This window comes from Homo sapiens, chromosome 11 (assembly GCF_000001405.40).
Source record: "Homo sapiens chromosome 11, GRCh38.p14 Primary Assembly".
Taxonomy (NCBI): domain Eukaryota; kingdom Metazoa; phylum Chordata; class Mammalia; order Primates; family Hominidae; genus Homo; species Homo sapiens.
The window spans coordinates 104,269,079-104,285,378 of record NC_000011.10 but is presented as its reverse complement, the minus strand read 5'-3'; the positions used below and the strand labels follow the sequence as shown (position 1 = coordinate 104,285,378).

Here is a 16,300-nt window from a genome sequence, read left to right as displayed (position 1 = left end):
GAAAAGAAAATCAAAGTAAGTTCCATGATCGCTCCTGCTTTTTGTCTGGAACCACTTTCCACACTAATATCTATGGAAGGATAGTTTAAATATAATGTAGTGGTCTCATTGACCTCATACAACAGAAATGAGAGTTTTCGGATCTTGGAGGGCCTAGAATTTATGGGGCAGAGTACCAGAGAGAAGAGAGCTGTGTAGAAAATGAGTTGCGGGAATCTTCACAGGATGTCTCCTTGAGTTTTTAGTCAAACACTAAAATATACATCCTAAAAGAAAGACTTAAGAATAAGCAAAAAACAACTACCTGAAAAAGAACACAAAAGACAATATAAGATTCTACAAAAGTTTGCACAGATCAGGCAGATGTTTGTGTCCTAAACAGTCAGAAGAGGCTTTATTGAACAATCCAAGCATTTAGTAAAAACCACAAAAAGCACCGTTGGAAGAATGTCTAATTTAGACTTATGGCAAATCTGACCGTAGATCTATTCTATCACAGGTAAAAAAAATAGCCTCAGAAAGATTCAGTTTGTCTTCAAGTAAATTATCTGCCTATCTGATCTTAACATCCTTGTTTAAAAATCCAAAAATAGAAGTAAGGCAGCTTTTAAAAGATTTGTTGCAATATAGGAAGATAAGTGTATTTAAAATAAGTGAGAAAAAATTGGATATATACATATTAACTTTAATTTCTCACAGCATATAGAAAAAGTAATTTAAAATGGATCCTAGATCTAAATGTAAAACTTAAAATTATTAAAATTCTAGAATAAAATATAGGAGGAATCTTTGTGACCTTGGGTTAAACAAAGATTTCTTAACTATAACAGCAAAATCATTATCAGTAAGACAAAAACAATAGATAAATTATGGTTAATTAAAATTAGAAACTGCTATTCTTCAAAGACACTGCTAATAAGCAAGACATAGAACATATTCAAAAGTATCTGATATACAATGTGTATCTAGAATACATAAAACTCAAATAATTCAATACAAATAGGCAAAATGACAACCCTATGCTCACAAAGTTCATAATTTTGATAAAGTAGAACAATTCCTTGAAAGACACCAACTGCCAAAACTCTCACAAGAAGAAACAGACAATCCAAATAGCCCTATATATATTAAGTAGAGTCTATAGTATAACCTTTTGAAACAGAAAGCACCAACCCCAGATGGGTTCACTGTTGAATACTACCAAATATTTAAGGAAAAAAATGTGCTAATTCTCTACAATCTCAGAGATTTGAAGCAAAGGGGATAATTCTTAGTCCTATGAGAAATACTTCCTCATCATATGCAGCCAGCATTACTCAAACCTAAGCAAAGATATTACAAGAAAATGAAACTGCAAACTAATACCTCTCATAAACATAGATGCAAAACCCTTCAACAAAATATTAGCAAATGAAATCAAACAATCTTTGCAAAGAATTATACATGATGACCAAATGGGAATTATCCCAGTTATACAAGGCTAGTTCAACACCAGAAAGTCAATTATGTAATCCATCACATCAACAGCTCACAGAAGAAAAACTGCACGATCATGTCAAAGCATTTGAGACCATACAACACCCACTCATGATTTAAAAAAAAATAGAACTCAAGATAAACTAGGAATAAAACTAGGAATAAAAACCTCAACTTGATAAAGAATAGCTACAAAAACCTGCAGTAAAAATTATACATAATGATGAGAAATTTCACTTTCCCACTAAAATTAAGAATACGGAAAATGTCTCCTCTTACTAATGCTCTTCAAAATTGTTCTAGAAGGCATATCTAATACAAAAGGACAAGAAAGCAGAATAAAAGGTATACATATTGAGAAGGAAGAAACACTGATGATGAAAGAAATCAAATAACTACATTAACATAAAGCTATCCCATGTTCATGGGAAGGAAAGCTCAATACTGTCAAGATATCAGTTCTTATCAACATTATCTATATTTTCAATGAAATCCCAATCAAAATTTCAGCAAGTTATTATAATTTGTGGGTTTTGACAAACTAATTCTAAACTTTACGGAGAGACAAAAGATTGAGAATAGTCAGCACAATATTCAAGCAGAAGAATAAACATGGAGGATGACACTGCCTAACTTCATGTATTTAATTAACATGAGTACTATAGCCATTGTGAAAAACGATATGAAGGTTCTTCAAAAAACTAAAAGGAGAACTAGCATGTCATCCAGGAATTCCACTTCTGGGTGTATGTCCAAAGGAATTGAAATCATAATGTCAAAGGGCTATGTTTACTCCCATGTTCATTGTAGCATTATTCACAAGAGCCAAGATGTGGAATCAACCTAAATGTTTATAACAGATGAAATGATTTTAAAATGTGGTATATATACACACACAATGGAAATCTTTTCAATCTTGGAGAAAGAATGAAATATTGTCCTTTGAAACAACATGGATGAACCTGCTGGACAGTATGGTAAATGAAATAAGCCAAGCACAGAAAGACAAATACCTCATGATTTCACTTAAATTTAGAATCTAACAAAGTTGAACCAGTAGATGTAGAGAGCAGAATAATGGTTACCAGAGGATGGCAGGGGTAATGGAGGGAATAAGGAGGTGTTGGTCAAAGGGTACAAAGTTTCAGATTTACAGAGTAAGTAAGTTTTGAGATCTATTGATAGCAGGGTGGCTAAAGTCAATAACAATGTATTATATATTTCAAAATAGCAAAGAGTAAATTTCAAAATGTCTCATCAGAAAATGATATGTAAGCAAGGTGGTAGATATGTTAATTAACTTGACTTAATTATTCTACATTGCATACATTTATCAAAAAATCACATTGTATCTCATAAATGTATACAATTAAAATTTCTCAATTAAAACATTTAAAAAAGCTTTTTTAAAAAAATTAGTGTTTGCTAAGAATTAGGGGAAGGGAAGGATGAATAGGCAGAGCACAAAGGATTTTTGTAGTAGGGCAACTACTCTGTATGATACTATAATGGTGGATACATAGCATAAGTTTGTACAATCCCATATAGTGTACAACTCCAAGAGTGAACCCTAATATCAACTATGGACTTTGGTAATTATGATGTGTCAATTGTAATCTCATCAATTGTAAGAACGTACCACTCTGGTGGAGGATGTTGATAATGGAGGAGGCTGTGCATGTGTAGGGCAGATGATATGTGGGAACTGTGTACGTTTGCTGTGAATCTAAAATTGCTCTAAAAAGTAAGGTTCTTTAAAAAAAAACCAGCTGACTCATGCAGGGGCTAAACTCCCTCCCTCACAAAATGGGCAGAAGATGTGAATAAGCACTTCACCAAAAAGTCTAGAGAGGCTGCAAATAAGCAAAAGAAAAGATGCTCACCATCATCTGGGAAATGTAAATTCAAGCCATAAGCTAATACACCACCACACAACCATAATCCTGAGGCTAAAATGGAAAAGACTCCTCACACCAAGTGTCAACAAGGATGTAGAACATCAGTAATTCGCACATACTAGTTGGAAAATTAAGTTGTATAACCACTTCAGAAAACCATTTGGCATTTTCTTATCATCTTAAATATATATCTAGCATATTGATTTCATGTACCATGTGTTCTAGCCAGTCCACTTCAAGATCTTTATTCAAAATAAAAGCACATGCCCATTCAAAGACTTGTGTACATATTTTTATAACAGCTTTATTTGTCATAACCAAATACTGGAAACAACCCAAATATATATCCACAGGTGAATGGATAAATAAATTGCGGTATAACCATACATTGGAATACTATTCAGCAATAAAGGGAATCTATTGTTCATGCTACAATATGGATGATCTCAAAATAACTATAATGAGTAAGAGAAGCCAGACAAAAAGTAGTGCATTCTGTATAATAACATTGATATGAAATTCTAAAAAATGCAAAGTAATCTCAAATTACAGAAAATATATCACTATTTGCCTAGTGATTCAGGAGACATTAACTTTGAAATCGATGCATATTTTCATTGTTTTTATTTTAGTGAAGACTTACAGCTGTGCACATATTTAAAACTTAACCAAATTCAACATTTCTATTATCTGCATTGTATCATATGTTAACTGGACTTCAATAAAGCCATTAAAAATAAACCAAAAATAATGTGTTCTATAATATAAATAAATTAGAAATAAGAGTAATATATATAACTTTAAATAATAAATATTATTATCCAATTTAAAATATTGTTCTAATTTCCATCGTGATTTTTAAATTAACCCATGGAATTTTGAAGGCTTAAGTTTAATTCTTTAAAGTCAAGTTTAAAGAATTCCTTAAACTGAAGCCTTTAAAAATTTATTTAAACGTGACTTTAAAGAATTAAACTCAAGCCTTTGAAAATCCATGGGTTTATTTAAAGATCACCATGGAAATTAGAACAATATTTTAAATTGAATAATAATGAGTATACAACATATCCAAATCATTTGCAGCAATAGCAGTGCTTAGAAGAGAAGTTGTAGCATTATGCTTGTTATGAGTTGAGTTGCTTCCCCAACAGATTCACATGTTGACATACTAAACCTCAGTACTCAGGGTGCGACCTTATTTGAAAATAGGGCCCTGCAGATGTAATCAGTTAATAGATGTAACCAGTTAATAGACTGGAACAGATTGGGTTCTTGTTTATTATAACTGGTATTCTTATAATAAAAAGTGGAAATTTGGACACAGGCACATTCATAGGAAGAATGCCATGTGAACATGAAGAGACATTAGGGTGATACCGCTATGAAGTAAATAATGCCGTAGATTCCCAGCAAACTACTAGAAGCTAGGAGGGAGACAGAATAGACTTTAACTCAAAGCCCTCAGAAAAAAACTAACCCTGCCAGACCTCAAACTTCTAGCCTCCAGAACCAATTGTGACACAATAAGTTTCTGTTGTTTAACATACCTGCTTGTGAAATTTTGTTAGGGTAGGCCTAGTAAACTATTTAGTAGAATTCTTATTTTAGAAAAAAAGGAATTATATAAAAGGTTTAATATAAATCATCTAAGCTTCTGCTTTAAGAAGCTATAAAAAGAACAAATTTTATAAAACAGTAGGTAGAATAAAGGAGATAATAGAGATAATAGTGGCAATTAATTAACTAGAAAATTGGTAAACAATTGAGAAAATCAATGAAATCTACACAAATGAAATCAAACAAAATCTAGACTGAACAAATAAAGAAATAGAGAAATACCAATACACCAATAGAGAAATATACCTTACCCATGGCTTGTAATATCCAATATTATTCCAAAGTTAATTCCAAATCAATATGCAGACAAAGTAATTACAATAAAAATCTCAGCAAGTTTCTTTGTTTCAATATGGAAAAACAAACTGCCTAGAACAGCCACAACAGTCTGCAAAAGAAAAAAGAAAAAAAAAAGAGAATACCACATGATCTTACTTATATGTGGAATCTTAATTTTAAAAAGTTTGGGTATCATAGAAGCAGAGAGTAGAAGAGTGGTTACCACAGACTAGGAAGGGAGGAGAGAGGAGAGGATGGGGAAGGGTTGGTCAATGGGTACAAAGTTACAATCAAACAGGAAGAATAAGTTCTGGAATCCTATTGCACAATAGGATGACAGATAGTTAACAACAAGATATTGCACATTACAAGATAGATAAATGAGAGGCTTTTGAATGTTCTTTCCACCAAAAATAAAAAGATAAAGACATGAGGTGAGGATAGCTAACTACCATGACTTGATTATTGCACAACATATATGAATATATATGTAAATATATATGTACAACATATAAATATATATATACACAATGATCAAGATATATATATATATATATATATATATATATATATATATATATATATATATATAAAATTAGTCTGTTTTCACACTGCTGATAAAGACATATTCGAGACTGGGAAGAAAAAGAGGTATAATGGACTTAAAGTTCCACATGGCTGGGGAGGCCTCACGATCATGGCGGAAGACAAGGAGGAGCAAGTCACGTCTTACATGACTGGTGGCAGGCAAAGAGAGAGAGAGTTTGGTCAGGGAAACTCCAGTTTTTAAAACCATCAGATCTCAATACTCATTCACTGTCATGAGAACAGCGGAGGAAAGACCCACCGCCATAATTCAATCACCTTTCACTGGATTCCTCTCATGACAGGTGGGAATTGTGGGAGTTAGAATTCTAGGTGAGATTTGGGTGTGGACACAACCAAACCATATCATTCCACCCCTGGCCCCTCCCAAAGCTCAGGTCCTCACATTTTAAAACCATTCACGTCTTCCCAACAGTCCCCCAGAGTCTTAATTCATTTCAGCATTAACTCAAAAGTCTACAGTCCAATGTCTTATCTGAGACAAAGCAAGTCCTTTATACCTATGAAAGGATTTGCTTAAGATAGTCATGCTTCAGTAGGTATTTAGTAAATGAATGAATGAGAACTGAGGCAGTATGATTTGGAGGCTCTTTCCTCTTCTGAGACCATTGTATATGTATTACTAGATGAGGTAGATAGTTTTTCCATTCTGTTATTGGTTTTGTCCCTCTGATTTTTTTAACCAAATCATTCTTTTAAAAATTGAAATTCTTTGTTAAGCATTTTTAAAAAGAAATTTTAAATCCCATAGACTAAAAGAAGAATGTATATAAAAAATTATTTGTTAGGGAGTTTTTTTTCACCGTGATGGGCATGTTCATGTTGAAAATACTCCATGAATATGGAACTGCTTGCAGTTTTACACTACAGGGGAAAAACATTTTCTAGATTCCATAATTCTTTCACTAATATCTTCCAGTTAACATAACCTCCCACTTACCGTCTGTCCACATACTCTATTTCCAGTTTTTATCTCAAAGTACAGTTTGCTGATTTCTATTAAAATTCATAGATTCATAAACTGGTCCTGGGAGAAATCATTTGGTTCAACTGAAACCAAGCAGAGATGATGCCTACAAGACTGTGAAAGTCAAAATGGAAATAGGCTTGTGATCTGCTCGACCTTTGATACATTTGTGCCCTTCACCCAGACTAAATAACAGACCAGCTTCATTTCAAACTGAGATAAAATTTCCAAGCGTTGTGACTAATTATTTCATCCCAGTAAATTCTGATTGACAGGGTATATGTAATATATATTCACATATACTATGTATGTTGTGATTGATTAGAAAATGGAAAATTAATTAAAAACTATTTTCTAAATGTAGTTTTCCTACCCGAGAAAGTTTTTTTTAAATGGGTCATATAGGGGCCGGGCATGGTGACTCACATCAGTAATTCCAGCCCGTTGGGAGGCCGAGGTGGGCGGATCACGAAGTCAGGAGATCCTGGTTCATACGGTGAAACCCTGTCCTACTGAAAACACAAAAAATTAGCCGTGCATGGTGGCGGGCGCCTGTAGTCCCAGCTACTCCGGAGGCTGAGGCAGGAAAATGGCGTGAACCCAGGAGGCGGAGCTTGCAGTGAGCCGAGGTTGCACCACTGCACTCTAGCCTGGGCAACAGAGCGAGACTCTGTCTCAAATAAAAAAATAAAATAAAATAAAGTCATATAGATGGAAAAAAATTAATAAAAATTGTCTTTAATATAAAAAGTGTATGAACTATTAAGCTAGTCAATGTTTTTTTCCATAAATAGAAGTGAGCCCAAAAGGTAAAGTTAGTGGCTCAGATTTGTGTAAGAAGCTATTGGAAGAGCAAGATTTGAATCCTAGTTACCTTGGTCTCCTGGTTCTTTCAGGTATATACACATATCTCAATGAACTTTATTATATATTAATTTGTTTATGACCTTATAATTTCAAAACAAGTCATGGTCTTTTAGTCTATTTAAAATAAAATGAATAGAAATAGAGATATGATAAACTGTGTGCAAAGATAGGTTTCTATATCCCTGAAACATATCATCATACCACCTAATTTGCTTATAGTTTCAAACTCTTAAAAGTTCTATGAAATCTGATCTCACATTTCATCTCGTCAACAACCTTATAATATATTATCACATAACATATATGAAAGGATACATTGGATGGAATTTGCCAGCACAGCTGCTTCTATTGGGCCAGCAGAAGGAAGCACTGTGTCATTGGTTGTGGTGGTAGTTGGGGATGTAGGCAGTGGATGAGGGAGCTCTGTGCTTGGACCTGGTCTGTTGTCAACCTAAGCAATAACATAATTCTTCTGAACTTCCATCCTTCTCGTATGTTAAAAGCAGAAGATACTGATACCAATAATCTTACAGGGTTTTGGTAAAGATTAAATAAGTTACTACACGTAAAGAAATATGTAAACAAAACCTACCCTATAATATTTATCACATTTATTTTAGTACACTTAACATTTCCATTGATACAGAGAATATATTTTTTTATTAACAAGACTACTGATAAAAAAATTTAAAAACTAAAAATAATGTTGATTGAAAAAAAAGCTTTAGATAAGGGAATAAATAGCTAAACACATAGAAAGGAAATCATTTCCTTTAGTTCAGTATAATCCCTCTGGGCTCTGCATTTACCAGTTTTCCCCCACTAAGGGTTAAAATGACAAGGTAATCCACTAGCTCCCCTAACACATCCTATATTTCGTCTGCAGTGTTCCCTTGACTTGTCTGATTATAAGAATATAGATTGTTTTTTTCAGTGGACGTGAGGTACGGCCAGTGAACCTATATTTTTAACAAACTTTCCAGTTGTTATTTATAATCTAAAAAGTTTCAGAACACTGCCTGAAGCAACAAGCAAATCTAGATAGTTCCTCTGAGAGAGGAAAGCATAGCCATACACAGCTAACTCTAAGAGACAGGCAGCTTCCCATGCTGGAGTTTAAGATGTGAGATTCAAGTTCACAGCTGCCATCCTGCTGCTTTATCATTAGTATTTCCCAAGTTTCTGCTGCCCAATTAAAGATAGATCACCACATTGTCCCTTGAAAAGCAAAATAGCCAAATATCTGCATAGCTCTTAAACACTTTTTTAAAACTGAGATCATGAAAACATGTAAAAATATACAAGAGGTAGGTAACAAAAAGAAATGGATGCCCACTTAATACTGTTAATTTAAATAAGTGAAGAACCAGAAAATCCCTTAGTCACAATGGACGTCTCTTCTGTTGAATGATAACAAATGTCTTCTTCCTAAGATGACCTGGCAAGGGGGAGTGATGCCATCCCATCCAGGAAACTGTGATTGCGTAAGGCTAGGTTCCTGAAACAAGCTGAATCAAGCAGCATTTACCTTAGGTTTTTGACTGTGAGAGCAAGGAAAGTTGTTGTCAGTGTCTGCTGAAGGGAAAAATTAATAGATGTGAGTCTGGAACTCCCACTTGCCATATGTGGATGCCATTATACAGAGGGGGAAAAAAAAGGAATGTTTCAAGAGAGAGCAGAAGATAAGAAATTGAAGGAGAGTATCTTGGAGTTTTTTCCCACCCTCTTCCCATTCATATCCCAGACCTGGCTAAAGCTATAATTTTCCTGCATCTTTCTGGAGTGGGCAAAAAACAAAACAAAAACACTATGTCTTTTTCCCTAGTTATATATCTGTCATATGCAACTGGAAGGACACTGATTGGTACAATAAATTGTCACACATTTCAGATGTAAAAACAAGTAGCTCCTAAATAATCGCTCTCAGAATTTGGAACTTTTTCAACAACAAAAAAGGATTTTTAGGGGCAAAATAGAGTACTTTTTCACTAGTGATATCTCATGAATGCCAATTTCAGAAAAAATAAAATATTTTCTCTTAATTTGAAGAAATATAAAGTTGAAATTACTTGAGTAGCACCTATTGCTCTGACTGGCATTTTTCAATATTGCTACTGCACATGCATGCTATCGCAAACTCAGGTCAGTAATAAAAAAATTATTTGGAAGATGTTATATCCTGAAGAAAATGTCAGATCATTCTCATCTTTGTAATTTCATATATGCTTTTAATCTTCGACATGACTGCAAAAATATTTTCCATCCATAATCATTCAGGACAGCCTTTCTGAAGAGATATATTTTGTACAGAATTTAAAACAAAGCCCAGGGATTTTTTGTTCAGATGACCTGGGAATGCACATAGGATTCATACCAGGTTTTATCTTTATTTCAGGAAACGTTCATCATTTAAAGATATTTAGAAGTTTGCAAATGGGCTCTTCCTGAGTGAAAATTTTTGCTGCCTTGGAAGAAGTTTTTTCAATATAAAACTATTAAATAAAATTCAGTCTCTTAATTAAATTTGCTAAAAGGAACATATAAACAACATATGTCCATTGTGTTGGTCTACATAGTATCTATTAGAAAAAAAAAAGAAAGAAAAATGACATTAATCTTTCCTGTTTTTATGATCCATTTGCTACATTTTGAGACATGTCCTGTTATGTCTATTGTCTTAAACAGTCATCTTTGATTCTCCTATTTGTGATTGTTGGTAGAAAAAAGCATAGGAGTTTTTCTCATTACAGATAGGAATTAGGAGTTTCAACTCAAATCTGAGATATGCATTGTCTACATGGAAGAAGAAAAATGGAGAAAATACACAGGTTGTGGTTGGTTTATTATTATTTTTTCCTGATAAATTACTATGGCAGAAAGCAGGCACATAAAGAAACTCTGTATCATGAAGGTTTGCTTTGACCTTCAGCATTTACTATTCAAGAAGGGGCGCTAGAAGATATAGACACCTGCAACCAAGATATTACAAGCCATGGGAGCAGAGTTAGTTGGAACAAATGAAAAAACTTATTTGTAATACATTCAGTTCCCTGGAGAAATTTTAAGAATGCATAATATACAACATTAGCATCTAGAAATTCTTGGTGATGCATAGTTAGAGTTAACAAATAAATTAGTAAAAACCTAAAAATTAACTCTTCTCTAGGCTATTTCAAATAATGATAGTAAAATGAGCTTCCTTGAACACTACGTGGAACTCATCTATTGATTTTACTTTAAGTTAGGCTGAATTTAATATAAAGTTGTACTGAACAATAAGGCCTAATGATTTTCATGCACTTAAAATGTCCTAGGCAATAATCTCAGGGCTTAATTGGTATTAATTTATTTAATTCTCTAAACAACCTCATGAAGAAAATGGGGCATAGAGATTTAAGCAGCTTGGGCAATGTCATATAGCTAGTTGTAGTGTAGCACAACCAAGACAACAGCACAGCAATCTGGATTCGGAGCTCACGCTTGTTAATTTACTTATACCCACCTGGAAGAAAAAGATATAAGACCACTTAGGAAGACATATATAACACACAAAGATAATGTGAATTCAAGTAGATGAAATGTCAATTTCCAGTAACAATGGGCTAGACACTTTGTATTAAACTCTGACTGAGAGCAACTAGTAAAACTGGGGAAAAATTTTTAAATCATCAGTAGGAAGGCAGCAAAATGCCAATAATGTGGTGCACAATTATTTGGCCAGTATCTGAGGAAAAAAATAAGCTCAGAGATGTAAACTAACTATGAGTTTTGCCTTTTCTAGAAGGACTGCCTGAAACTCTGAGAGACTGACAGCCTTGAGCTCAGGACAGGAATTAGAGTCCATGGCATATCAAGTGTAGTGGGTATTGGAGAACATTATTGGTTAGAACCAGAAGGGTGGCACCCACAGACTAAGGGTGAAGTGAAAGGAGGCAGCCGGTTGAAATAATTAATTGGGAGGCCATTAAACAGAGGCAGCTCCAGTGCCCTGGTTTCCTGCATAAGCAAACTGAGATCCAACTCGGTATAAACAGTCACATTCTAGGTAAGCAAAACTTCATCTTAACCCATCAGAAACTGCCAACCAACCTCTAACTAGGAACTTTTTACTAGGATCATTCAAATAAAGTGTTTCAATAATTAAGTGGCAGGCCATTAGGCTAAGACAGCTCCTGTGCCATGGGTTCCACCACAAGCAAAGAAAAACTCAATTCGATGTAAACAGTAAAAGGAAACTGAAGCTTAACCAACCACAGTCAACTGGCCTTTAGTTATATAACTAGGAACTTTTCATTAGATCATACCCAAATAAGGAAAATGCCTCGCTGTAGCTAGTCAAGTAATTTCTTTACTTTGCTTCTGTGTTCAGCCTATCAGACCCTGCTGCTCATGCTGCTACAGCAGAGCTCTCTGAACCTCTTCTGGTTCTGAGTGCTGTCTGATTCATGAACTGTTCTTTGTTCAAATAAACTCTGCTAAATTTAATTTGCTTAAAATTTTTAAAGCTACTTTAACCAAAAAAATATTTTCTTTGCCTTGCTTTCACATTCACTTTATATAAGCTTTCTCATTGTGTCTCTTTGGTGGAGTTCTGAACTGTTTCCGGTCTGGAGCTGTTTGCAGAATATATAAAGAATTGTTACAACTCAGTAACTTTTAAGCAACTCAATTTAAAAATGAGGCAAAGATTTGAATAGATATTTCAACAAAGAAGATATTTAAATAACTAATAGGCTCGGCCCAGTGGCTCACGCCTGTAATCCCAGCACTTTGGGAGGCCAGGGCTGGCGGCTCACAAAGTCAAGAGATCGAGAAAATCCTGGCCAAAATGGTGAAACCCTGACTCTACTAAAAATACAAAACTTAGCTGGGCATGGTGGCGGGTGCCTGTAATCCCAGCTACTCAAAAGGCAGAGGCAGGAGAATCGCTTGAACCCAGGAGGTGGAGGTTGCAGTGAGCCAAGATCCTGTCAATGCACTCTGACCTGGCGACAGAGAGAGACTCCGTCTCAATCAATCAATCAATAAAAAACACATGCAAATTTGCTCAACACATAAAAACTTTTGCATTTACATTGACAGAAATGCATTTACATTGTATTTACATTGACAGAAATGCCACAATGACTTACCACTTTACACTCACTAAGGTGGATATAATAAAAAAGATAGTTGATAACAAGAGTTGGTGACGATGTGGAGAAATTAAGAGCCTTCATACATTACTGGTTAGAATGTAAAATGCTGTGACCCCTTCGGAAAACAGTCTGGCAGTTCCACAAAAGGTTAAAGATAAAATTACCATATGAGTCAACAATTTTGTGCCAGGAGAAATAAAAATATATGTTCACACAAAAACTGTACATGAATGGCAGAGCAGCATTATTTATAATAGCCAAAAGGCCAATGCAACACAATATCCAACAGATGAATGGGTAAACAAAATATGCAGTGGAATAGAAGTTTGCATACTAATATATGCTATAACATGGATGAATTTCTAAAAGCAGTTACAAAAGACCATACATATATTATCACATTTATATGAAATGGCCATGGTTATTGAATCTGTACGGAGAAAATAGATTAGGGCTGCATAGGCTTGGAGGTTGGGGAAAAAATTGAGAGTGAGAACTAAGGAGTATAAGGTTTCCTTGAGGATTAATAAAATGTTCTAAAATTAGATTATGATGATAGTCATATACTATATAAATATGCTAAATAAACATTGAATTGTACACTTTAAACGAAAACTTTAAGTCATGCAAATGATAATCTCAATTCAAAAAAAAGACGAAATTATACAACTGATAAGCTAAAATTAAATTTTTAATTGAAAATGTTCCACAAAGGAACATCAGGTCTTAATGGCTTTACTGGTGGTGAATTATACCCAATGTTTAAGGAAGAAATAATGTCAATCCTACCTAAATCCTTTCAGAAAACATAGGAAAAGAAATGTGGAAGCTAATCCTTTCAGTATTTCTTAGTGAAGGGTCCCAGCCTTCTGAGCAACAGAATTTGACAATGTACAAAGACTGAGAATACCTACTTTTGTTCCCCAGACATATTAGTTCTTCACATTTTGAAAGTATTAAACCCACAGAAAAGATTTACATTTCAGAGAGGAAAGAGGCACTGGGTTATTTGTTTACATTACAGAGAGCGGTAAACTTGGGACCTCCTTCTTATTCATTTCTCAGAGATTTGTTTACATTATGAAGATTCATTTTCTCTACTTTCTCTAGGTTTGTCTTGTGTCTTAGGAGACACAGGTGGTAACTGGGCTGTTTGTAGTCTATATAAATTCTCAGATTCATAATTTATGAGCTCTTCTCTTGTAGTGCAAATATTCCTTTTCTGTACATGCAGCCCCAATTATCTGTTGTAAATAATAGATTGGTCCTTATCCGGAAACCTCACTTTGCTTTCAGGACAGTATAAATATCTATAGATGTTAAATATTTACTGAGAATGCTTTCTGAATCATTTTGTGATGCAAGCATTACTCTGATACCAAAACAAAGACATTATAAGAAAACTACAGATCAATATCTTCCATTGAATAATGAACACAAACACAACAATTTTTTTAAATGTAAGATGATCATTTTCAACTATATATGACAAGAATGCACCATGAACAAATACTGTCTTTTCCAATAATGCAAGTTCATTTTAACCTTAAAAACTCAATGTACTTCAAGCCAGGTGCAGTGGCTCATGCCTGTAACCCTAGCACCTTGGGAGGCCGAGGCAGGTGGATTGCCTGAGGTCAGGAGTTTGAGACCAGCCTGGAAAGTATAGTGAAACCTCGTCTTTACTAAAAATACAAAAAATTAGCTGGGCGTGGTGGTGGGTGCCTGTAATCCCAGCTACTCAGGAGGCTGAGGCAAGAGAATGGCTTGAACCCGGGAGGCAGAGGTTGCAGTGAGCTGAGATTGTGCCATTGCACTCCAGCCTGGGCAACAAGCATGAAGCTCCATCTCAAAAAAAAAAAAAAAAAAAATCAATGTACTTTAGCATATTAGCTAAATAAAGCATAAAACACATACAATCATCTCAATAGGTGAACATTTGACAAAAATAAATTTGACAAAAATCAAGACATGCACATTAAAACTATAAAACATGACCAAGAGAAATGATTAAAGACAAGTAAATTGAGAGCTGTATTATATTCACGGATTGGAAGGCTCAGTACCATTAACATGTCAATTTTCCACATAACAATTCATAGATTGAACTCAATTACAATCAAGATACCAGCCATGTTGTCATAAAAACTGATAAGCTGATTGTAAAATGTATATAAACATGCAAAGAACATGGAATGGCCAAATAATTTTGACTAAGTCAAACAAAGTTAGGGAAGATACACTAACATATTTTAAGATTTACTAATCAAGACAGTGTGATATTAGCAAAAGAACAGGCATAAATATCAGTGCAATGCAATACAGAGGCCTATACTAATCACAGTTACAGGGTCAACTGATTTTTTAAAGATGCCAACGTATTTCAATAGTGAATGAACACTTTTTTTAAAACAAATTCTGCTAAACTAATTATTAATATGAAGAAAATAAGCCTCAAATCTTGTTTCACATCATATACCCAAAAACCAAACTGAAATACATCCTAGACCTAATGTACAAGCTGAAACTATGAAACTTCCAGACAACATATAGACAAAAATCTTTTGAACTTGAGATAGGAAACATTTTTATAGATAGCACATCAAATGTAGAAACCATAAGTTAAAAAAAAAGGCGAAAGAGACTTTTATCTTAATTTTATTTCTGTTTGAAGATACCTTTATGAAAAGGAAAAGCCAAGCCCCAATACAGAAAGTATTTGTAGTACATATTGACTGGAAGATGACAAAGACTCCAATTAAAATATTGGTAAAAATTCAGGCAGACACTTTACAAAAGAAGATAAAATATGAAGAGTCAGGACATGCAAAAGATATTCAATATCATTAGTCATTTGAGAAATCCAAATTAAAATTATGAGATACTACTACATGTTTAGTGGCTAAAATAACATAGTAAAGACTGATAATACTACACGGTAATAGGATGCAAAAGAACCAACACTCTCGTACGTCACTGCTGCGAAGGTAAAAGTGCACAACCCATTTGGAAAAATCTTTGACAGTTTATTATACATGTAAACATACACTGACCACACAGCCTATCCATTTCATTTCCATGCTATTATCTAACAGGAATGACAACTTATGTGCATGGGAAGATGGGCCTACTTGTAGAAACTTTATTCATAATAGCCAATAACTAGAAATATCCTAAATGTTCAACAACAGATGAATGAATTTTTGAACAAATTATAGTATATCCATAACATACGCCTCCAATAAAAGAATGAATTACTATATATGTAACACAATGAATGAATATAAAAAACACTATTTAAATGTTTTTCCATTTGTTTGTGTTATCTCTTATTTCCTTGAGCAGTGGATTCTAGTTCTTCTTAAAGAGGTCCTTCACATCCCTTGTAAGTTGTAATCCTAGGTATGTTATTCTTTTTGTAGAAATTGTGAATTGGAATTCACTCATGATTT

General features: G+C 34.0%; 1 long non-coding RNA gene across 2 annotated transcripts in view; it reads right to left on the bottom strand.

Moving 5' to 3' along the window:
- The window catches only part of LOC102723879 (uncharacterized), a 78,954-nt gene extending 73,586 nt beyond the window's left edge, over positions 1-5,368 (bottom strand). For both annotated transcript variants that reach the window (XR_428991.3, XR_001748077.2), the window contains exon 1: positions 5,243-5,368. This is a non-coding gene — a long non-coding RNA (uncharacterized LOC102723879). The remainder of the gene's footprint in view (positions 1-5,242) is intronic.
- Positions 5,369-16,300: the final 10,932 nt, after the last annotated feature.